The sequence below is a fragment of the Homo sapiens genome, chromosome 3, assembly GCF_000001405.40.
Source record: "Homo sapiens chromosome 3, GRCh38.p14 Primary Assembly".
Taxonomy (NCBI): Eukaryota; Metazoa; Chordata; class Mammalia; order Primates; family Hominidae; genus Homo; species Homo sapiens.
Genome location: NC_000003.12, coordinates 193948221 through 193972866, shown reverse-complemented (window position 1 = coordinate 193972866; position 24646 = coordinate 193948221). Strand labels below are relative to the sequence as shown.

Sequence of the window (24646 nt, the reverse complement as noted above, 5' to 3'; positions counted from 1 at the left end):
CTTTCTGTCTCTCTGTTTTCATTAAAAAAGTTTTTTTTTTCCTCCATGAGAATAGTCCCATATTTTAAAAAAGAGCAATGTTTCTGTGGGGTGGGAATAGGCTACCTTCTAGTAGGGAACACTCCCTGAGGGAGGCCTGGGAGGTTGTGGCTCAATCTGAAAGGATCTCGACCAGTGCTTCGTAAAATTTGCAGCGCATGAGAATCACTTGAGCATCTTGTTAAATGTGGATTCTGGCTGAGTAGGTTTGGGTGGGACATGAGTTCTGCATTTCCAGCGAGCCCCCACGTGATGCTCGCTCATGGACCACACTTTTATTACCAAGGCTAGATGATCCCAAGTCAGGCCTCCCCTGAGCTCCTGTAGAGTGGAGAACTCACAGGATGGGGACACTGTAACCAGGTTCTTCAGCCTGGGGCTCTTCAGGCCTCTAGGTTCAGCCTCAGCCTAGAATGAACCTGCAGTCAGCTCTTAACATAGGGAATCTTATCCCCTGGAAGGCTGGGCTGTCATAAACTGGCTGGGAATCAGACTCTATGGAGGTTCTTACTTTTGCTGTCTGACCCTCGAATGGTTTTCTTTTTTCTTTTTTTCCTTTCTTTTTCTTCCCCTGGCTTTGGGAGAAGAAAAATTGGACTGTGGGGTAAAGAAGAACAATGCCTCAATTAGCTAGAAAGCTACAGTATTGAATTAAATGAGCCCCATGCTATGGCTCATTAACAACATCCTATTACTTAGCAAGTCTATAACTAGTGTTTCAGCTAAAGAAAGAAATGTAAATCATTTAATACACCTTTCCTAATTGAGCTGTGCACCAGGGGCACCCTCCTAATGGTATTATGGCACCAATTACCTCATCAGAAGAGAAGAGCTGCTTTTATGACAGGTTTTGGAAATTAAAATGGCAGAGAGATGTCTTTTAGGAGGAGTAATTCTGGGCTGGGCTGTGCTGAGCAACGAGCAGGGGCTGAAAGGGCACGTGGGGCCCGGGTGCTAAAGGCGGGACGGTGACCCCTGTCTGGTCTGACCCCCATCTTGGGGATGAGATCTGAACTTAGTCTTTTCATACTGTCTGGTCAAGAATGTGAGCCACAGTGGCTCTTGTACTTCAGTGTGTATAAAATCCACTGGGGAAGCTTGTTAGAAATTTAGATTCCAGGGCCCCACCCTGAGATTCTGACCCAGGAAGTCTGGGCTGGGCTCCAGCCAAACCATACTTGTAATAAGACCTCTGGGAAACTCCCTTGCAGAAAGCTGAAAGACACTGTTTCGAGAAACATAGCAGAGAAGGTCCCAATGATTTCCACCAAAACCCAACTACGTGTCTGCAGGTTCCTCTATTACTAGGGGTTTTACCCGTCCCAAAGACCGGATTGAATGAGACTTATTTTGGTTTGCTTCTTCAGACACAGCACAGCTACCTTCCTCCTTTTCTCTCTGCTTAGCCTGCTTTGGTTGGTACATGGGGTAGAGCAGTGGGGCAAACGGGGATGACTGTTTGCTTGGGTGTTCACTCTCTGTGTGATGTCGGGCAGGGCATTGTACGCTTGGGGCTGCAGTTTCCGCACCTCAAAATGTGCATGGTCAGGTAAAGGGTATGAACACGTTATTGATCAAGACACTTTGTCTTTTTTGCGACTCAGTTTTCCTTATCTATAAGATGAGAATGTTGCGCTTTATGAATTTGGCGAGTGTAAATAGGAACTGAGATTCTCTTTCTGGCAGCTTTTCATGGTTTCCTTTCTGTGGCAAGGAAAGGAAGAACTTCAACCTCCAGATTTTGTGTAAATATTGAATCTATAGCAATGGTTTTGTGGAGTGTTCCAGTTTCCTAGGCTGATGATTAATGTGGTTTTCTCTGTGAGTGTTGAGCCTTCTCAAAAGGCTTTTCCTGCTATTCCTGTGAAATGCACAAAGGCAAAGTGTTAGTCCTGCTTTTTTCTCTATTGCCATGTGGAAGGGGGAGCAGATGCATTCTGCATTCCTCACAGGGCAGAAGACATGTCAGCTGACAGACGTGGGGAGGCAAAACTGGCCTTAATCTGATATGAATTTCCTGACAATTACAATGACCTCCCTGATCCCAGACCTTTGCTGGCTTTATATTGCCTATCACATCACACACAGACTTCCCTGTTTGGCCTGCCGTGTCCCCATCATTTGGCTTGAGCAGGCTTTGTTAATCCTATATCCTCGAAGTAACTTGAATTGTGGGGCTTTAACTCACTTTTATTTATTTATTTATTTATTTATTTATTTATTTATTTATTTATTTTTATTATACTTTAAGTTCTAGGGTACATGTGCACAACGTGCAGGTGTGTTACATATGTATACATGTGCCATGTTGGTGTGCTGCACCCATTAACTCGTCATTTACATTAGGTATATCTCCTAATGCTATCCCTCCCCCCCTCCCCCCTTAACTCACTTTTTTGATGCTCGCTCTCCAATCCACATTTCCAACTAGGTCCTATTCTACATGTTCAACAGCCCGCAGAGCTCCCCCAGTGGACTATGTTGTCATTACTACAAACCTAAAACGTCCTCAGGCACATCCATCAACTCTCCCTTACCCTTGTTGCTCTTCCCATTGATCTCTAGTTCCAGTTGCAGAAGCATGGTCTAGGGTTAGGAAATGAAACATAGCTTGGAAGATCCCAAACCTCCTCATTTTATTAAACACTCTATAGCTAGAATCTATTGCTTTGAAATAGCTCAGAGTTTAATAGTCAGAAGAAATCTTTTCCAGTTCTTACAGCCCATACCGTTTCTTCTTCCAAATCAACAATGAAACGTCTCTAGGTTTTATAGCTTTTGGGTCTGGTTAAATCTCATGTGTAGGAGAGAATGGTCTGTTGGCAGCACACGTGCAAATGGGGTGTGTAGACAGCATAAGCCGAGTGTAAATCCATGGTAGGTGCATGCCAAAGAAGGTCACATATGTCCGTTTTCATTAAGAAAAAGTGCAGCCTCTTGTGTGAGCAAAGGTATTGTCCTGATCAACTTGCACTGATTGAAACATGCCTGGGGTGCTTCTTAACTTATTATTATATTATCGTATGTGTATTACCTTTCCGAGCTGTCAAAGATGGTGACTTTAAAGTCGGCCATTACTAAGTCATTTCTATCCATTTCTTTCTGAATTTCCACGAATTCTTGCTTTATTTGTTTTTATTCTACATTATGTGGCAATTAAAGCATCATGACAGTTATTTACATGCTATTCACTTTTTCAATATTTATCTAAATGTCATGTAAGTTTTCCGTTTTAAATTCTACTTTGATACAAAATATTGTGACCCTGTTTTCTTTACAAATTGAGTCTTTGTGCATGTGATGTATTTGCTAGCTTATCCTTTCTTATTCTAATGCTTTTCTTTATTTGAGGTATATATCTTGGGATGATAGCATATTGATAAGTTTAGTTTTTCAAATATGGGAGCTAAAGCCACTTACATTTGTTATCACAGTTACCATTTTTGTTTTAACTTTAGTCCAGTTGCTTATGCTTTCTGGATTTTAAAAATATTTTCTTGCTCTCTGCTTAAAATTGTTTGTGTTATGTTGTTTGTATTTTCTATTTTTCCACTAGTGATATGGAAGGTATAGGTCCTATTTTAAAATTCTATTGGGATTGCCCTGAAAATTTTAAAAATACACGAATCTATATTTTCCCAATTTTTGATTTTTAAAAATGCTACCTATTGATTGTTTCTTATGCAAGGTGAAGAAATAACCTTTTATTTTCCCCTCCTTCCTAAGTTCACTCAGTTTCTTATTTTATGTATTTAATTTTGGACTTTAGACTCAGGGGTTATCTTTATTTCCAACGTACTGTTTTATAAACATTTTCAAACATACAGAAAAGTTGAAAGAATTCTACAGTAAACACCCACGTGTCTACCATCGCCATTTTCCTATACTTGCTGTATCATGTTCTGTCCATCTATCAACCCGTGTTTAAAACAAATGCATTTCAAAGTAAATTGAAAATATCAATTGCTGTAGTTTGATGTTTGATTCTTCCAAATCGCATGTTGAAATTTGATCCTCAATATTGGAGGTAGGGCCTAGTGGGAGGTGAGGTGGGGCCTAGTGGGAGGTGAGGTGGGCCTAGTGGGAGGCCTTCAGGTTGTTGGGGTGGATCCCTAAGGAATAGATGAATGCTGTCCCTGGTATGGGAAGGAATGAGTGAGTTCCTGCTCTATTAGTTCCTTAGAGAGCTGGTTGTTAAATAGAGCCTGGCAGCTCCCCTCCTCCTCTCTCTTGCTCCATCCTTCACCATGTGGTCTCTGAACACGCTGGCTTCCCTTTGCTTTCACTATGAATGGAAGCAGCCTGAGGCTTTCACCAGATGCCCAGTCCCTCATCCAGCTGAACTCTGAGCTAAATAAACCTTTTTTCTTTATAAACTACTCAGTCTCAGCTATTCATTTATAGCAATGTAAAACAGACAAAGACATCAATATACTTCTTGAATACTTCTGCATAAATATCATTAACTAGAGTTTAATAATTGCTTGCAGTATTTTTCTTTGAGGCAAAATTTACAAACAATGAAATACACAAATTTTAAGTGTGCATTCATTGAATTTTGACAAAGGTGTGCCAGTTATTATTTTAAAAATTATTTTCTCTTTCAAGAATTACTGTTTTGTATTTAAAATGTCTTTTACAACCATACTTTAGAGGATGTTTAATTGATTTTTAGCAACCACTATGACAGCTGGGCATGCTAGCTCATGCCTGTAATCTCAGCACTTTGGGAGGCCAAGGCAAGAGAATCACTTGAACCCAGGAGTTCAAGACCAGCATGGGCAATGTAGTGAGACCCCCATCTCTACATTTTTTTTTTTTAACTGAGCATGGTGGCATGTGCCTGTGGTCCCAGGTACTCAGGAGGCTGAGGTGGGAGGATCCCTTGAGCCCAGGACACAGAGGCTGCAGTGAGCCAAGATTGCACCACTGCACTCCAGCCTGAGCAACAGAGTGAGACCCTGTCTCCAAAAAAATAAATAAATAAAATAAAATAAAAATAAAGTAACAACCATGAGTTCCATTTCATTAGAACTTCTCCATTTTTCGTTTTGAATAATTTCTAGTTGGCTGGAGTATGATTTAAGTAGTTTTTTCAAAAGTAATGTCAGTGATATGGCTTAGGAATCTGAATAATTGAAAATTTTTGTAAGAAAATGTAAAGAAATATAAGAAATTTTTTTCAGACATGAATGACAACTTAAATGAGTTTAGAATTCTTGACTAGCAGGCAATTTTTTGCACTCAAAACTATAAACATTTCTCCATTTTCATCTGATGTTTAATGTTATAGAGCTATCTGATGCTAGTCTATATTTCTATCTTTGTAGGTAAGCTAACTTGTTTCCTGTCTAGGTAATTGTAAAATGCTCTTATTGTTCTTGAACTTGAGTTCATCTGCTAGTTGAAGTCTTTAAGGTAATTTTGCCAGGTACTTCGTGAGATCTTTTGATGTGTAAATGTACATTTTTATTCAATTATGGCAGACGTTGGTAGTGGTTCCTCCAAATCCATAGTTTTCTTCTTAGAAACATAATTCCTGATATGCCTATGGACACATAGCTGCATGGAATAAAAAATATTTCGCCTTCCTTATGGTTTAGTTTCACAGCTGTCACGGATAGCTGACCCTGGTCTTAATGAAAACATCAGCTCAGGAAAGTTTTCTTCTTTTATATTTTATTTTGTTTGTTTTATTTATTCTGCTCTTCCCCGCGCCCCAGGAACATCTCTTCTTTGTGATTTCTATATTATCTCTTCTTCAAACGCAACAACTTTTCTCTCATTTTTTATATCACTTTGCCTTTTTCCTCCTTATTCCATGGCAGTTTTTCAGGTTTCTCTCCTGCATTGACAATTTTGTCTTGTCTCAGTGCCTGTTCTACTCTTTCTCGCTTTGAGTGAAAATTGTAATTTACTATTTCTGTTTTAGTTTCCTTAACTTTTGTGATTTTGTGATTTTTCGCCTCTGCTGAGCCAGTGCCCTGCTCATTGCTGCTTTTATCTCTCATTTTTCATCATTTGATTTATCTTTTATTGGAATTTTTATGGAACCTAAATCTGAGTTTCCTAAATTTTGTAATTCATGTTTGCTTTTTAGAAAGATACTTTCTTTTTCTTTTTCTTTTTTTTTCCTTTTCTTTCTTTTTTTTTTTAGATGGAGTCTCACTCTGCTCCCCAGGCTGGAGTGCAGTGGTGCCATCTTGGCTTGCTGCAACCTCCGCCTCCTGGGTTCAAGCGATTCTCCTGTCTCAGCCTTCCAAGTAGCTGGGATTATAGGTGTGTGCCACCATGGCTGGCTAATATTTGTACTTTTGGTAGAGATGGTATTTCACCATGTTGGCCAGGCTGGTCTCAAACTTCTGACCTCAACTGATCCTCCCACCTCAGCCTCCCAAAGTGCTGAGATTACAGGCATAAGCCACCGCGCCCAGCCAGATACTGTGTTTTTCTGTATTTTGAGCCTAGTTTTTCTGTCTTATATAATCCCCATGTTGGTTCTCTTTTACTTATAAGAAACGAGAAAAAAGTATGTCTAGTTCTGCTGTTTGTTCATAAACAATGCGAGTACATTTTTTTTGATGGAAGTAAATTTATGTGACTGCTTAAGACGTGCAACAGATGGAGGGGAGTAGAGAAGAAGCTGGGATCAAGGGCAGACAATAGGGGACAGAGGCAGAAGGAGGGAGCTGGAATTACCACAGGCTTAGGGAGAGGACTGGGGCTCCTTGTCTGCACCCTTCTCTACCAGTGATGCAGCTGCTGGGTCCTGTGCTGACTTTCTGCATTTCATTTTCTTTCTGCCTGACTTAACACTAGGATGAAGCTGTGTTTTCTTCTATCTCCTTCCTTGAGTTGTTGTCCACAAGGTGAAGTTGGCTCCCTTGTATAATATCCGTGTAATGGAGCCATTGTGCTTATGCCGGGGTCTCCTACTGCTACTGCTTTCAAATGCTCCTCATCTACAGCTGAAGCAAGTCCTGGTCTTCTTACCTAACCTGCACACGACACTCCCTCAGCCCTCCAAAACTGAAGTGGGGCAGTCATGTTTGGTGGGGATCTCAAGGTCCTTCTGCCCTTTACTTCCTATAACCACTGCTGTTTTTGAGGAAGAAGAGCTGCAAGACTGTCCACAGTGTCTCCCGTCCTCTGGTCCCATCTAAGCCATATTGAAAAGGATGGTGCCAATTTCTACCATGTGGAAGGTGCACTTGCCTTGTTCCCAACATTGCTGTAGTACTTTTTCTCCCCTTTCACCAAAGCTTTTCCTTTTTTATGCTTCTCTGGGTTGTTTCAGAGGGGCTGTTGGTGTAGAGGAAGTTAAACACTTAAATGCAATGCCTTGTTACCCAGAGGTCTATAAAACACATCCTTTAAGGCTTTTTATATTGTGAGAGCATATATTTTATGCTATAAATTTATTAAAAACCATCTGAGTCTTTGCAGCAGCACAGGACTTGGAGTCAGAAGACATGAGCTTCAGCCCTCACTCAGCCTCCCATTTACTCATCTTTAAAATGAGAATAGTACCTTGCATGGAATGAGATCAAGAATATGAAAGCATATCTACATCCTTAAAAGGTAAAAACACATAAGACATGGCAGCCATCCTTTCTTTCTCTTTTTGCCTCTCAGGCTGAGCCCTGTGGTATGGAAAGTAATTGATAAATCCTTACTGTTAGTTATTGAAAATGAAAGTCCAGGAAATACTGAAGAATAACTAAGGAGAGAAAAGGAGTGAAAGAGTAATTGAACACATTATTACTATCTTCTTTGATATTTATGTTTATAAGCTTTCTTTGAACCTGTGGTGTTGTCTGCCTAGAAAGTCCCAGATTTTATTAACCATTTTCATATTTTCTCTCCAATCCTTCCTTCTAACCCTGTCATTCCCCTAACACTCAAAATTTATTGTAGAAAGGTGTTCTTTTAAAGACCTTTATAAAGAAATATCATTATCTATGGTTCAATGTCACTTTTAAAGTTGTCCCTTGATACTTTTTGGAGGCTACTGGATATATTTAATTTCCAAACACTCTTGAAAGTCATCCAACAAGTTCAAGCAGGGAGAGAATGGTCAGGGTACAGGGTGTGTGAGGAGATTATGCTGTGAGTTGGCCGGTATCATTTATTATGGGTAATTCAACAGGTGCCTCAATAATTCCTACTGGGAGGTTTTCCGTTCAGCTTCCCCAAATGGCTCCATTTCAACATCCAACAGTGACACTGTATTCTCAGAATTAGATTAGCTAAGCACAGGGCAATGCAAAATCCACTGGAATGATCCAAAAGAAAGGCTTGCTCCTTCATCAACAGTGTTAGCATGAAATATGCTTCTGTTTATTTAAAATGGTAGAATTCATCAGCTACTTGAAAACTCCTGTTCTTTGAAGTGGAGGTGTACATTTCATGTTATATAGTTCAGTCCTGTCTATGTAATTACATACGTAATTTTGAGCACTTACTCAATGTGAAACCCTATGCTGGCTGCTGTGGAGGTTAGAGAGATGAGTAAGACCTAGCCTTGGCTTTGCGAATTTACACATTTGTTGGGAGATGGCAGCCTATGTATCATCCCATCATAGGACAGATGTAGAAATTAGAAATGCAAGCAAAATGCCATTGGGTTAGAAAGGAAAACTTGAAGGTGCTTCTTGGTAGAGGAAGACTTCAAGCTAAGCAATCTTGCCTTTATTTATTACATAGACAATTGTTGAGTGGCAAATTGGTTCACGCGCTATACTATAAATAGTCAGGGAGAGCCAATTTTAGTTGTGTAATTATTTATAGAAGAATAAAGTTCAACAGGCAGAATAGACCAAGGAGGGCATTCCAGGGAGGAGGGACTGAGTGCAGACCTTCTGGTGACACGACGTGTGTGTGGGAGTGAGTGTGGGCTATGGGCTACGGTGAAGGTAATGATGGGATATAGATCTGAGCAAAACTGCAAAGGGCTCTAATGCTCAGTAAAAAAAAAAATACATTTTATTCTAAATTGCATTTTTATAAATTGAGCAAATCTAAGTTTACTGGGATTGTTCCCTATTAGGTATAACAGTTGGAGTTGCACTGGCTTGGAATCAGACCAAACTTAGAATTTGAGCTGTGTCATTTACCAGACCCAGTCACTTAACTTCTGATTCTCAGCTTTCTCGTCTGGGAAAATGTGGTTTATGAGGATTAGTTTCAAGGAGATAGGGGAAGGCACCAAGGACATTGCCCACCCTTTGGTAGGCATTCAACAAAGGTCAATTTCTCTTTTTCTCTCCCTTCCGCATCCTCCCCTCTCTTTCTCGTAAGAGGGCTTTGATGAAGCATATGCTCCGTAATGTCACTGAGTCATCTGGCATGATTGCTAAGCATTTTCTTAGACTTTTCTTAGACTTGCTCAGGTTCTGAAACCTGAGCAAGTATCAGAAGCACCTGGATGCTTATCAAAACACAGTTTGTGTGCCCCCAACCCTAGAGTTTCTGATTCAGTGGGTCTGGGTGTTGGGGGGCGGGGCAGGGGGCAAGAATTTGCATTTTTAAGAAGTTCCCAGATGCTGCTCGTATGGGAACCACATTTTGAGAGCGTCTAGTTTTTCTTATTTTGCCCTGGGGCAGACCCTGTCGGATGCTTCCCTAACAACCATCCCCTTTTCCCTGCTAACAGAGTCCTGAGTTGTTTTGGCAGTACAGAGAGATGCTTTGATTTCAGGGCTAGGCTTTTTTTTCTATCTCAGTGCCAGAAGATGAATGATAATGGGTCTAAATTGTCGTAGTCATCTCAGTTCTCTTGGCCATTGATTGATCTCAGGGTGGGCAGTCAAGTTAGTTCAGTGTCCTAACTTAGAGACATGAGCTTCAGCTACACTCCTTAATTTATGAAGAACTTCACATTCCAATTAAACAGAAATTATAGAGCAACACTAGAAATCTTCCAGAAAATGCAATTCATCCCAGGCTCCTTTATAAAAGCAATCCTAGCCTCTGACTTTGATCATCTTTTTTCACCTACCCTTTCATCATACTTGGACCCTCCCAGCTCTGCTACCTTCCACTGTCCAGATCAGTGCAAATTTGTTGGAAAGACCAGTTTTCAATCACACAAACATGTATGTCCATTGCCCTGTTGACTGTGACATTTGGCCACCGTCTTCTGAACCCCTAAGGAAGACTGAAATCCTATCATTAACTAACTTTTGGATCAGAGCTGGGTATTTATGATGGAACTTAAATTAGTTACCATCACTAACAATATTTTCTTTAGCATTTGAAGAAGTATTATTTCAGTTAAATGACCATAGTAGTTCACCCATTTGTTCATTCATTCATTAGGCAAATTTTTATTGGATATTCTATGTGCTACAGTGCTACAACATCATCCCTCTCTATGTATGCAGTTACTTATTCATAGTTTATAAAGCACTTTCAAAGCATGAGGGGCTAGGGACTAAGTTATAATGGAGAGGAAAATCAGTGCATGCAATAAAATATGCTTCTCTCATTGTACCTGTAGGTATTTGCTAATAGAGTTGTGTGTAGAGGTACACACATGTTTTTATTTGCTTTTTATAACTGTTATGTTACCGTAGTTATGAGCATATGAACATACATGTTATTGCTTGCATCGTGTTTCTGTACTCTGGTTGTGGATCTTGATTCCCTCCCCCCATTTTATCATTTTTTAATGTTACTATCAGTAGCAAGGTAAGAAATTAATTCGATATGCTGTTTTCTATTAAGAAAGAAGGAATTGATAAGTCCCTGTCTGCTCAACATTTACTTTTATTTCTGCTGTCTGCCACCTGGCTTCTGATTGTCATTCATTAATTACTTCGTAATTAATTCCACCTACATTTCCTGAGCAGAGTCCACCTAAATTTGGCACATTGGAGAAAGTAGAGACTAATAAGCTCAGGACTCTGTCATAAGGGGCTCACCATACAGTAAAATACATAAGACATGCAAAAATCACTGAAATGTAACACAGCAGTCAAAGGATACGTGTAATAGGAAGAGAGTAGGTAGGAGAGCAGAGGAGAGAGAGAGGACTTCTGACAGGAAAATCAAAGAGGCCTCCATGCTCTATGTGGAAGGACCTGTGCACTGGACTGTCAGAGATCCTGCAGGATTTGGGAACTTTGACTGAATTGGAGATTCTGGGCTAAATTATAGAGAAAGAGCTGTCTTCACTCTGTGCCTGAGAGGCCAACAAACCCCATCCGATGAGATTTGGATAACACTGATCAACCAGGCCAAATCCTGTTACACGAATGCAAAAGGACTGTCCCAAATACTGGGATCTGTCTGGAATAGCTCTTACTATGTATCATCTCATCATAGGACAGATTGAGCACCAAACAGCTCATCTGCAGAAGCTTGTTAATTTTTTGTGTAGAGGTTTGGGTGAGATGGTTTGCACATTTGCTGGAAGGAGGCTGACCTGTATACTTTCTTAGGAATGGGGAAAAGCTGAGTTGGCTGGCGCTTGGAAAGTGTCTGTACATTCTTGGCTTGGGAAGTGTTTGGGATGCATTTATATAATGCGGTTCCTTTTCCTGTAGCACAAAGAAATGACAGTAGGAGGAGGAGGGCTGATCACACAGCAAAATAGTGCCCCATACTTCAAACCAGCCCCTTTGAGTTATCCAAGTGTACCACGTCCTCCCCTACCCCAAGTTACAAGCAGCTGAATTGAATTAAAAAAACAGTCCCTCCGTTGCTGCTGTGACCTGGCCTGCCAAATTCTCAGCTGGCGTGAGTTTTTATAGCTCCGTTATAAACCCCTGAAAAGTGAGGCATATAATGGAAACATTGACATAACCTGAACGCCTAGGAGCGGCTTGTGCCACTCTAATTATCCTTATGTCTTACTGGCCCGTTTCTCTCCTTCCCCTGGCAGGACCTGCTGCCGCGGTTAGGCCTGACTGTCCCAGGGGCTGGGGGTTCGAAGCTGGCGTTTGCTGGGGAATAATGAGATAGTGTCTGCTGGTGGGAAGCCCCCTGCTCCATACATACTAGCTCCTCCCCTTTGCCTTTCTTCCCTTGTTCTCCTCCTGCACCACCTCCCCCTACCGCCTCCCCCGCAAAAAAAGGCAGAACAGTTCAGTTGGTTGTAAAAATTAATGAGTTCAGATACAGACTTGCCTTATTCCGGTCCAGCTGCGTAACCAGGGTGATTCCAACCAGCATTCTAGACGCTGACATCAGCTCCACACCCCGGCACAATGCTGCTCTGTTTGATCTCAGAAACAGATCGGGCTCCTGGGCTTTATACATCCTGCTTCCTCCCTACGTAAACTCATTTTATTACCCACCGGGAGAATGCATCTCAACTGCGCTCTCCCTGGGCAGCCAATGCCAGAGGATCAGGCCCTACAGCTGACTCTTCTTCTACCAGCTGGACACTTTGATCCAGTTTTCCTGGTCCTCTTTGAGGTTTCTCCCCAACCAGGCGTTGACAACTGGTGGAAGACGATGGTGATAATGATTTCACCACTTTTCATTTTCAGTGCTCTTCTACGTTCCTGTCTGACCTGTGGTCCACAACCTCCCTGCCAGGTGGAGGTGATAGACCCATTTTATAGATGAAGAAAATCTGGTAGAGCTGGTGAGTGGCAGAATTAGGAATGGATCACAGGGTTCTAGACTCATAATCCAGTGCTCATTCCAGGGACTCAGGGGGTTGACCTCTTGGTGCAGGCACCAAGCAAGGTAGATTTAGTTTGTGTTGTGACCTGAGCAAGAAGAAGGCTCTATGGACCCACTTTCTGGGAGGCAAAAGGAGAGAGGAAGTGGCAAGTCTATGTCAGGCCCTTCAAAGTACATCATGGTGTCCTTCATCTGTCACAGTTCCTGCCCCTTCTACACCCTTTCTACAGAGTGCTGCTTGCTCTGCAGCTGGTCCAAGAAGCTTCACCTCCCAGGAGCACCAGACAGATGATCTCCTGTTTACAGTGGTTCCAGGAGCACCAACCCCAAGGATGAGTTATAAGCAGGTCTCTAAAGAGATTTTAGGAGAAGCTGCTAAAATGGTGGCAAAGCTCTTTAGAAACATAGAAGTATGAACCTTTTTATGGGGAGAACTTATAAGAGTTTGGAGAGGTCTTCCAGGGTAAGTGTTATAGCATGTATCTACTGAACAGGGAAGAGGAGATTAGGGGGTCTGTGTTAGTTTCCTGGGGCTGCCATAACAAAATACCACAGACTGGCTTCAACAGCAGACATTTATTCTGTCTCGGTTCTGAAGGCTGGAAGTCTGAAATCAAGGTGTCAGCAGGACCGCGCTTCCTCTGAGGTTGAGCAGAATCCTTCCTTGCCTCTTCCTAGCTTCTGGAGGTGGCCGTCAGTCCCTGGCCTTCCTTGGTTTGCAGCCGCATCACTCCGATCTCTGTCTCTGTCCTTACCTGGCATTCTCCCTGTGTGTCTGTGTCTTCTTATGCCCTTTTTCTTTTTTCTTTTCTTTTCTTTTTGTTTTGTTTTGACAGAGTCTCGCTTTGTCGCCCAGGCTGGAGCGCAGTGGCATGATCTTTGCTCACTGCAACCTCTGCCTCCCCGGTTCAAGCAATTCTCATGCCTCAGCCTCCTGAGTAGCTGGGATTACAGGCACCCGCCACCACCCCTGGCTAATTTTTGTATTTTTAGTAGAGATGGGGTTTCACCACATTGGCCAGGCTGGTCTTGAACTCCTGACATCAGCTGATCCACCCGCCTTGGCCTCCCCCAAAGTGCTGGGATTACAGGCATGAGCCACTGTGCTCGGCCCACCTTCCTCTTTTTATAAGAACATCACTCAGTGGATTAGGGTCCATCCTAAATTGAAATGAAGCTGTCCAAGATTGGTGGGGGCGAGGCAGATGTTATTCAATGACTGATGTCCTTATAAGAAGGGATCCTTAACTTGATTAAGTTAACTTGATTATATTACCAGGATTCTATTTCCAAGTAAGGTCACATTCATAGGTACTGGGGATGTCTTTTTGGAGGACACAATTCAGTCAGTAACAGGGTCTTGTGTTTCTTTCATAGTTGTCTAACTGCTTGTCTCTATTCAGAAAAGTAGAGAGTTGAATTGGTTCCCAAATAGCCATTGACAATGGTGTTAAGAATCCCTTATACTTGTTCAGAGTTTTACTGACGTGTTTTCACACATGTCTTTATTCAGTCCACACAACCTCCCTGGAAATGGCAAGGAGTTATAATTTCCATTTTACAGATGAAAAATGAAAAAGAGGAGAAGGGGATGCCATTTGCTCAAGGCTGCTGGAACGCTAGGCTGGCTCTGGGACTATCACGAAAAGTTTCTAACCCCCCGCCACGGCTCTTCTCACAACACAAGAATGAGCTCAGAGAGGTTAATGAACCTGCCAAAGACCCCAGCTGAGAGACTGAGTTGGTTTGCAGATTCCAAAGCCCACATTCATTCCATTTTATCTCATCTTTAGTGGACTTTGAACATGCCTCAGCCTTCACCTTGACCCTTGGTGAAGGTGCTGAGAACCAAGACCCAGTGCAGCGGTGTCTCTGGAACCTCCTGGAGCTCAGCAGCCGACTCCCAAACCTGGAGGTCCTCACTCTGCACCCTGTGCTCTGCCCTCTGGCTGATCCTCAGCATTCCCAGGCAGCCTGGCTCCCTGTAAAGTTGTTTAAACTTCTGTTTATCATCATCTTCCATCATTTCTAATTGTTTTCCTGTGTCCCTTTCTTTTGTAGAGGATATAAACTCAGCATTTTAGCTTTTGAAATAGATTTGCTGTGCAGTTTCATGGCTCTTTAGTGGCTTAAAATGTATTGTTCTGTGAGTCTTTCTGTGCCCGTCACAGCATTCACTGTGGGAAGCAGCAGGACGCCAGCGATGCTGATGTTTATTTGATTTTAGGGGACTTTAAGGCATTCCTGGGACCATACGGATTCTAAATATTCTGCCTCATTGTCTTCAGAAGCTACTAAAATATCCTAGAAATGATCATGTTTCAGCATGTAAGCTACATATTTCACGTTACCTCTTGTATCCATCCATACATAGCCTCTATCAAGAGCCTGGCATAAGCCAATGTAATGGTTCTGAAATGGTAACCACATGGTTCTTCAATCACTAAAACCCTTTCCACTCTGAGATTGGACATTCATTGCTATTTTCTGCCAGGGCTTTGATTTACAAGACTGTCTATGAGTTCTGTGTTTAATATACAGAACTGGCTGCCCTCAATGCATGAGACTTCCTGGTATTTTTTTCATGTGATTAGATGGATTACATTTGTTTCATATTTATTGTTTAGATATACAAGTAATCCTCACTTTGCACAGTGTCATGTCTGCATATTGAAACCCTATACTCACTTTGTGCAATCCTTTGGTAAGTGCAAAGTGAGAACACAGGTCTGATATGTACAAGTTTCAGTGAACATGGTACTATGCATCATGAAGACTATCTGAAGTTGCTTTCAAATAAAATTTGGATAAGGACTGTAACTACAGTAGTTCTCATTCTTAAGGAAATGGTAATTGCCAGCCGGGTGTGGTGGCTCACACCTGTAATCCCAGCACTTTGGGAGGCCGAGGCAGGTGGATCACCTGAGGTCAGGAGTTTGAGACCAGCCTGGCTCACATGGTGAAACCCCGTCTCTACTAAAAATACAAAAATTAGCTGGGCGTGGTGGTGGGCACCTGTAATCTCAGCTACTTGGGAGGCTGAGGCAAGAGAATCACTTGAACCCAGGAGGCGGAGGTTGCAGTGAGCTGAAATCATGCCATTGCACTCCAGCCTGGGTAACAAGAGCAGGACTCCGTCAAAATAATAATAATGATAATAATAATAATAATAATAATAATAATAATAATAATTGCCCACTGGGTGCTCTTCTCATCTGTGTACTGAAATACTGCTCACACAGCCCCCAGCCTCAAGCCATATAGTAGGAGAGGCCACATGAAGCAAGAAAATGACCGAAGACAAAGACTGCTGAAAGTTATAAGAGGTGAAGTGCTGCCAGGGCTCAGAGGCAACGTGGTCATTTTTTATTGGGAGAAAAAGAATCAGAGAAGGCTTATGGAGAAGTTAGCATTTGCACTGAGCTTTAAGAGAAGAGTGGATTTTAGAAATATAGAAGAGGGAAATGGGAGGTGGGCATTCCAGGCTGAGCCAACAACATGAACAAAAGCCCAGGAGCGAGTGACAGTACCACATGGTGGAGGAGCAGCAACTCACAAGGAGCACTGGGTGACTCTGGCTGCAGAGACCTGGTAACAGTGTGAAAATTCATTTGATGACATAACTAAACCTATGAAACCTTAAAACTAAGTTGAAACCAGCTCCCAATTTGAGCATCCTCAAGATGGTGGACTAGAGGTGCTCAGCACTTGTTTCCTTCACAAAGAAGGACCAAACCAACAAATAGAGAAGTACCCTCGAATAGAGTGTCTAAGGGAGAGCATTGAAATTTAACAAGGTAGTGACAATGACCCTCTAAGGCATGGAAACTCAGGATGGCAACATAGAGAGGGAAGTGAAGCAGCCAGTCAGGATTAGCTCAGAGCCAGGAAGAACTGCCCATTGCAGGGAAAAGGTAAGTGGGAGACCCCCAGAAGTCCACATTCCCACCACAGATACCTGCAATCCTGGCTACAAGAGAGCCCCTCAGCCCTCACAGGCCCTGAGCCCAGTATAGGCAGCTACCTGGAGTCCACATGACTGCATTATTCTGGAAAGGAAATTCACACCAGGGCCCCACTGACATCCCACCACATCCACCCAGAGGACTGCAGTGTCACAAAGACAGCTGGATTCAGCAATGCAGCTGCGACCCTGAACCCGAGCCCGTACAATGTCCTACATCCTGGGAAACAGGTAGTTCAGCACAGCAAGGAGGCTGCCCCCAGGATAGAGGGAGCCAGTGGGCACACTCTCCAGAGCCTGAGAGCCAACCGCCGCGGCGCCTGCCATTGCCAGCTGCCAGTGACCCTGCCCCCTCCAGCAGTAGAACCACCACAAACCTGTGCAAGCTTCCCAGGGGTTGGCCCACCTGGGGCTTGCAAATGCCATGGCCAGCAACCTCAACCACTTCAGTAGCAGAGCCATTGTGCACCCACAGGCACTCCCCAGGGGCCCAGGAACTGGGCTGCCCAGTGTTCTTATCCTTGTCAAAGCCATGCCACAGCCTCTACAAACAACTGTAGCGTAGGCCACTGAGGCACTCAAAGTCACCACTGATGTTGATTACAGCCAAAAAAATACAAAGGCTACATTACTGCACCCACTCAGAACCAAAGCCAAAGCATCCTATTCAACTGACACTATAGAAACATCTACAAGAAAAGACAATTCATGATCTGAATGAGAAACTCAACAAAGAGATTGATAGTATAAAAAATAACCAAATAGAAACCTTGGAAATGAAAAATTCAATGAATTAAATAAAACATACAATTAAGAGCTTCAACAATAGACTAGACCAAGCAGGAGAAAAAAATTTTGAACTTAAATACAAGTCTTTTGAAATAACCCAGACAAAATAAATAAATAAATAAATAAATAAATAAGAAAGAATGAAGAAAGTTTACATGACATATGGGACACTATTAGGCAAATTTGCATTTTGAGAGTTTAAGAATGAGAAGACATGGGAAAAGGCATAGAAAATACATTTAATGAAAGAATAGATGAAAATTTCTCAAGACTTGGGAGAGATACAGACATCTAGATACAGGAAGCTCAAAGATCCCCAAATAGATTCAACCCAAAATGTCTTTGAGGCACATTATAGTCAAACTAACAAAAATCAAAGACAGAGAATTCTAAAAACAACAAAACTGTCAAGTAACATAGAAGGGAATCTCCATCAGACTAACTTCAGATTTCTCAGCAGAAACTTGAGAGGCCAGGAGAGAATAAAATGATATATTCAAAGTGCTAGAAGAAAAAGTTTGCTATCTAAGAGTACTATATCCAGCAAAACTATCCTTCAGGAATGAAGGAGAAGTAAAGTCTTTCCCAGACAAACAAAGACTGAGGAAATTTATCATCACTTGACTGGTCCTACAAGAAATGCTTAAGGGGACCCTATTACACCTGGAGCCAAAAGAATGACATCTTCCTTCATGAAAATATAAAACTTCCTGTGGAGCAGATACACAAGTGAGAAAGAGAAAGGAATCAAATGTTATCACTACAGAAAACCACCAAAACACAAAGATAAACAATAAAAGAGTAATAAAGGAACAGAAGACATCCAAAACAACCAGAAAATAATCAACAAAATGACAGGAGTATGTCTTCACTTTTCAATAACAACTTTGAATGTAAATGGTTTAAACCTGAATTAAAAGATGTAGACTGGCTGAATCAATTTAAAAAATAATAATAAGATCCAACTACATTTTGCCTATAGCAAACTCATTCACCTGTAAAGACATACAGAGACTGAAAGTGAAGGCATGGGAAAAAATATTCCATACCTATAGAAACCAAAAGTGTGTAGAAGTAGCCATACTTACATCAGACAAAATAGACTTTAGTCAAAAAACATCAAAAGAGACAAAGAAGATAATTACATAATTAAAAAGGGATCAATTCATCAAGAAGTTATAACAACTGTACACCTATATGCACCCAACATTGGGGCACCCTCAAATATAAAGCAAATATTATTAGAGCTAAAGAGACTCTAGACTCCAATTCAATAATACCTGGGGTCTTCAATATCCCACTTTCAGCATCAGACAGATCATTTAGACAAGAAATCTTTGTTTCAACAAAGAAACATTGAACTTGGTCCACAAAATAAGTCTCAAGGTTTTTTAAAATAAAAATCACATCAAGCATCTTTTCAGGCCACAATGGAATAAACCAGAAATCAATAACAAAAGGAACATTAGAAACCATAAAAACACATGGAAATTAAACAACATGCTCCTGAATGGCCAATAGGTCAATAAAGAAATAAAGAAGGAAATTTAAAATTTGTTGATACAAATGAAAATAGAAACACAACTTACCAAAACCTATAGGATAAAGCAAAAGCAATACTAAGAAGGAAATTAATAGCAATAAATGCCTACGTTAAAAAAGTAGAAAGATTTCAAATAAACAACCTAGTGATTGATGTGTCTCAAGAAACTAGAAAAGCAAGAAAAAACAAAACCCAAAACTAGTAGAAGGAAAAATACAAAAAAGATCAGAGAAGAAGAAAATAAAATAGAGACCAAAAAAAAAAAAAAATCAACGCAATGAAAAGTTGGTTTTTTTGGTCAATAAAATCGACCAACTATTAGCAAGACAAACTAAGAAAATGAGAGAACGGACACAATTAAATAAAATGAGAAATAAAAAAGGAGACATTACAATTGACAAAGGGCCATTAGAGACTATTATGAAAACTATGGACCAACATATTGGAAAACTTACAGGAAATTGATCAAATCCTGGACACATCTAACCTATAAAGATTGAACCAGGAAGAAACAGAAAACCTGAACAGACCAATAACAAGTAATGAGATTGAATCAGTAATAAAAAGTCTCCCAACAAAGAAAAGCCCAGGACCAGATGGCTTCACTGCTGAATTCTACCAAGCTTTTGAAGAACTAACACTAATTCTTCTCAAGCTATTTCAAGAAAAATGAAGAAGAGGGAATTCTTTCTAACTCATTCTGTGAAGCCAGAATTACCCTGATACCAAACTCAGACAAGGACACAACAGAAAAAGCCACAGGCCAACATCTCTGATGAACACAGGTGCAAAAATCCTTAACAAAATGCTAGCAAACTGAATCCAACAATGCATCAAAAAGATAATATACCATGATTAAGTGGGGTTTACTCTAGGGATGCAAGGACGGTGCAACATATGCAAATCAGTCAATGTGATACATCACATCAACAGAATGAAGGACAAAAAAAGTATGATCATCTCAATAGATATTGGAATATATATTGGTATAAATACACAAAGTAATATTATTCTGACATAATAAAGAATAAAATCCTGTAATTCATGGCAACATGGATGAGCCTGGAGGTTATGATGTTAAGTGAAATGAGTCAGGCACAGAAATACTGAAGGTACTAACTCATGTGTAGGAGCTAAAAAACTTGAGCTCATAAAAGTAGAGAGTAGAATTGTGGTTATTAGAGGCTAGGAAGGGTGGCAGGGAAGGGAAGACAGGAAAGGTTGATTAACAGATACAAAATTACAGCTAGATAGGAGGAATAAGTCATAGTGTTCTATAGCATTGTAGCGTGACTATAGTTAACAATAATTTATTATACATTTTCAGATAGCTAGAAGAGAGGATTTTGAATATTCCCAACACAAAGAAATGATAAATGTTTGAGGTAATGCATATGCTAATTACCCTGATTTGATAATTACACATTGTATACATATATCAAAATATCACGCTACACTCTATAAATGTGTCAACCATTATGTGATTACTCTATAATCATGATATGTCAACTAAAAACAAAAGGAAAAAAAAGATGAACAACTAACAAAAAAGCATAGCAGTGAGAAATTCTGAACCCCTGAGCTGGGAAGTTCTGAATAATGACCTGTGGGTGATACTGACCAAAGGGGGAACCTCAGCTTCTAAAGCCCATACTCCAAAGGCAGTTGATAATAATCAGTCAAGTATTAGGGATCCCAGGTGCTGTCACCCTCAGGCCTTGTTTGATTCCCAGAACAAACCTGTGAAGAACAGAACCTGGAAGCATGTCACCATTTTATAGATGAAGAAGCAGAAGCTCAAAAGACAGGGACTTGTCCAAGCCTGTACAACCAGCAAGTGACTCAGCAACGGAAAGAATGCAGGTTTCCTAGTTGGCCACACTGAGAATTTGGTGCTTTGACAACTATACTTCATCTATTGTAAATTTTCCAGCTTCACACAATTTCTTTTATTTACAAAAGTACTAATTATTATAGCTAATCTCTCCCTAAGGAATCACCCACTGAGGGAAAAACAAGAACACCAATGTAGGCACATCTAATGGCCTTATATTTTGTTGCTCACTTATTTCCTGTATACTTAGTTTTATTTGAAACTTAATGTTGATTGGATTTGAGAAGACTGTTCCCCACAGGATATTTTCAATTGTTAGAAAAAAATAAAATAAAGAACACCACCACTGAACAGTTTCTCCCATGGTGCCAAGCTGTCTTCCATTTTGGATTTGCTTTCCGTGTAGCCAGTAATCACCCCAGGACTGCCGACCTGGGCTCCTCCAGGCACAAGAGCTGAAGGGTGCCCTAAAGAATATTGCCTCCACATCTGTACTCTTCCATCCTCTCATCTTACCACGAGCATCACAAAGAAGCCTCTCAATCACCCACTTTCTGACAGATCAGCATGGGTTTAATCCCAATCAGAGTATCCCAGGGCCAGCAAGATGGGGCTGTCAGGAGGCCCACCCTGGCTAGTCTGAAGCCTTTGACTGAGTAAACACAGTCTGAAAGGGAACTGGGGAGCTTGAAAGTAAAGCTGTAAATGATCCCTTCTGTGATTCTTGGCCAATTATTCCTCTGGGGTGGACCAAAGTGGGGGAAACCAGAAGAGAAGGTCCCTCTTTGCTTTAAACAAAATATCATTACACTTCTAGCATCTTCCTTGTTTGGGGCATTTTCCAAGTGAAAGTTCATTAGGGAGACACGAAAGCACGTTCCACTAATATCCATCAAAGAGGGGTTCAGTTTCAAAGCGCAGAAGAAATACAATAGCGTTGAAGCAAACTACATGAAAAAGATCTTATGCGCCTGAGAAGCGAAAGAGAAGCAGGGACTGGTGACTTGGATTTTCTTTTTTAAGCTAATCTTTATTTGGGACAAAATATGTAAGTCCAAGGAAAACGAGTGTCTCCTGGGCACTCTCTTATTTACATGGGGCGTCTTGAACTAAACATTTTGAAATGTTTATAAATGTTTGGGTTTCCTCTTCCATATTTTCTCTGGTTGGCACCAAAGCTGCAGGGCTTGGCATGTCCTCACGCTCGGGTCTTCCCCTCTGTGGCGACAGTTACTGATGAGCATTAATCTGGAGGACACACAGAGACAAGATGAAGTGCAGACTGGAGCCCGGGGATTAGGTCCTTTGGCGAATAAAATGTAAACAGGGGATGTCTGAGAGGTGAGGAGTGGAGGGGCTCATTAAAGGCCTGGACTTGGGATCAGGGTGGCTCTTTGTGTCCGTCCTCAAGCCAGCGAATGGGCTCAGATGCTGGTGAGCACTAGTCAGGCCCCTGGCTCAGCTGTTGGTCTGAACAGTGCCAGAAGGTCCTTTCCTTAGGCTGTCCAAGGGTGTTGGGTAGGTCCCGGGATGACACGCTGCTCGTTCAGGCCAGGGAAGGGGATGCTTGCCCTCACATCGAGCTTTTTGCTGAGGAAACCCTTGCTAATCTCTCATTCAGAAATGCTCCTTTGGGGAGTGGTTCCCTTCCATTTCAGAAGGACCTATCTCCCTTGACTGCCCCTGGGAAAGAGTAGATGTTTTCAATGCTTCCATCGTGTGCACTGTGAACTTCTCCAAAATAGTTCTTTCAAAGTAAGGTTTTGGGTGAACATAAATGAGAAACTCTAACTCCCCAGGGGAAAATTTACCATAAGAACTCAGGCTTCGGCCTCAGGTAATATTGAATCTGGGTTTCCAGCAGTGAGATTGAGAATGTGAGGCATGCCAGCAAGACAGACCCGTCCTGATTCTGCTGCGAGGCCCGGCTGGAGGCCCACCCAGTCTGTCTGAAGTTCCCAGGTTCGTTCTGGGGAGTCCTCTGAGAAGGGTTTCTCAACCTCGACACTACTGGTCTTCTCATCAGTTGCAGGGACACGAGGAAGCAAGTTATATAGTTTGTTTATAATAGAGTAGTTACTATAGGTTTGGAATCAAAGATATGAGGTCACACCCCAGCTTCCATTGCTCAATTTTCTCACCTGTTAAATGCGGATAATATCACTCACCTGAGAGAGTAGTTATGAAGAATAAATGTGGTAATGTGTGCAAGTGGCTATTTATCAAATGCCTGGCACATAGTACATGCTAACTAAATGGTACGTTTACTACTTCCTAATGTGGACTTTTCAGAGAAGCGTGTGGATGGGGGCATTAATATTTAGGGAGCACTCTCTTTATAGTACACCTCCTATGATTGCTTACATGGAAAGCAGGGAGAATAGACCCTTTGCTCCTCAGGTGTGGGCCAGCTGTCAACTTAAGGCGATGCTGGTACCTGGCACCAGAGGCTGAGTGTGGAAAAAATGAATGCTACCTGTTCCCTTTTCTTAGCTGTAATGCAAAAAGGCTAAAATGTTCTATTCTTTAGTGATCTCTTCATTGATTCTTAATTGAGGTAGTTACTGTGACATGCTTTGGCAGCTGAGATTATAGCTTGAAGTTTATGAAGAGAAAAGACTTTTATCTTCACTTATGGCTGAGTCTTGGATCTTACCAAGTTGCCTATCCAGGTTTGGTGGTCAGCAGCCAAGCTGCTCCCCATGCTTCTTCCCCTAACTACCAACATTCCTTCACAACCCTCAGCATTCAGAACTCAAGCTCTCAAAGCCTGGGCGAGAAATCCTGAATTATCCTGTTGGTCAACTTAGGTAAAGTGAGAATAGTTAGAAAACGTAAATGAGTGAAACAGAAGGAAAAGACAGTGAAATAACCATTCATTGATTAATTCCACAACCATTTGGTACCATACATACTGCATGCCAGCTACTGGTCATGGTGCTAAAGTTACAAAGATGAACAAAACTCAGCCTCTGACCTCAAAAATATAGTGGCTGCTTTTTGTTCTGGGTGCTGGTTGAAATTTGAAAACATTTGGCTGGTTGTATACTTAAGATTTGGGTGGTTTTTGATGTATGATATTCTTCATACATTGTGTGTTTAGTGGCAGACACAGACACCAGAACAGGTGATTCTAAGTGCTAGTTACAGATACACCCAGGGCATTGTAGGAGAATAGGGGTCCAGGTGGGAGAAGCATGTTGGGTCCTGGAAGAGATGCTAGCATAAGCAAGGTTATGGAGGAGAAAAGACACCAGGGCAGGAAACTAGGAAGAGCCCCGTGTTGCTTGGCACATAAACTGTGAGGCAGGAAATGATGAGCATGGAGGGTTGAAGAAGGACTGGGGGTTTTATGTCTATGGAGGGTAGACTCTATCAGGTGGACAATGGGGAGCTCTGGGCAGGTGTCAGCCAAAGGGAGGAAGTGGTGAGATGTGCATCTTAGACACAGTTGGCAGAGGTTGGCTCAAGGCCAGGGGCACTTTTAATCCCATTGCCATTTTCCAGATGAGAGATGGGTGACAGCTTGAACGAAGATACAAAATTTCATGCATAATATGCATGTACACACACACATACTCACACACATCTCCAACGGCTGCAATAAAAGAAGATTTTCATATACCATACGATTCTACAGAAAATCCCATTTGAGTCTGGCAGACATAAAGGTATAATTGTCTAAGAGGAACTCATTTATCTCTTAAAACTTTTAATATCTCAAGATTCGGAGTGTGAGTTCAATGTCTCCTATGTCAGATATAAGCAGCACACATGAGGGCTGGGTGCGGTGGCTCATGCCTGTAATCTCGGCACTTTGGAAGGCCGAGGCAGGTAGATC

General features: G+C 41.6%; 1 long non-coding RNA gene across 1 annotated transcript in view, besides 1 other annotated feature; it reads left to right on the top strand.

Annotated features, from left to right (window-relative positions):
- Positions 1-15495, top strand: part of LINC02026 (long intergenic non-protein coding RNA 2026) — a 46288-nt gene extending 30793 nt beyond the window's left edge. The window contains exons 2-3 of the long non-coding RNA NR_033944.1: positions 12906-13138; positions 14189-15495. This is a non-coding gene — a long non-coding RNA (long intergenic non-protein coding RNA 2026). The remainder of the gene's footprint in view (positions 1-12905; positions 13139-14188) is intronic.
- Positions 10486-13138: an enhancer, noted in NCBI's record as "VISTA enhancer hs1453". NCBI's record gives its function as "enhancer in: neural tube[3/5] | forebrain[4/5] | limb[4/5]" and the evidence as "EXISTENCE:transgenic organism evidence [ECO:0001131][PMID:17130149]".
- Positions 15496-24646: the final 9151 nt, after the last annotated feature.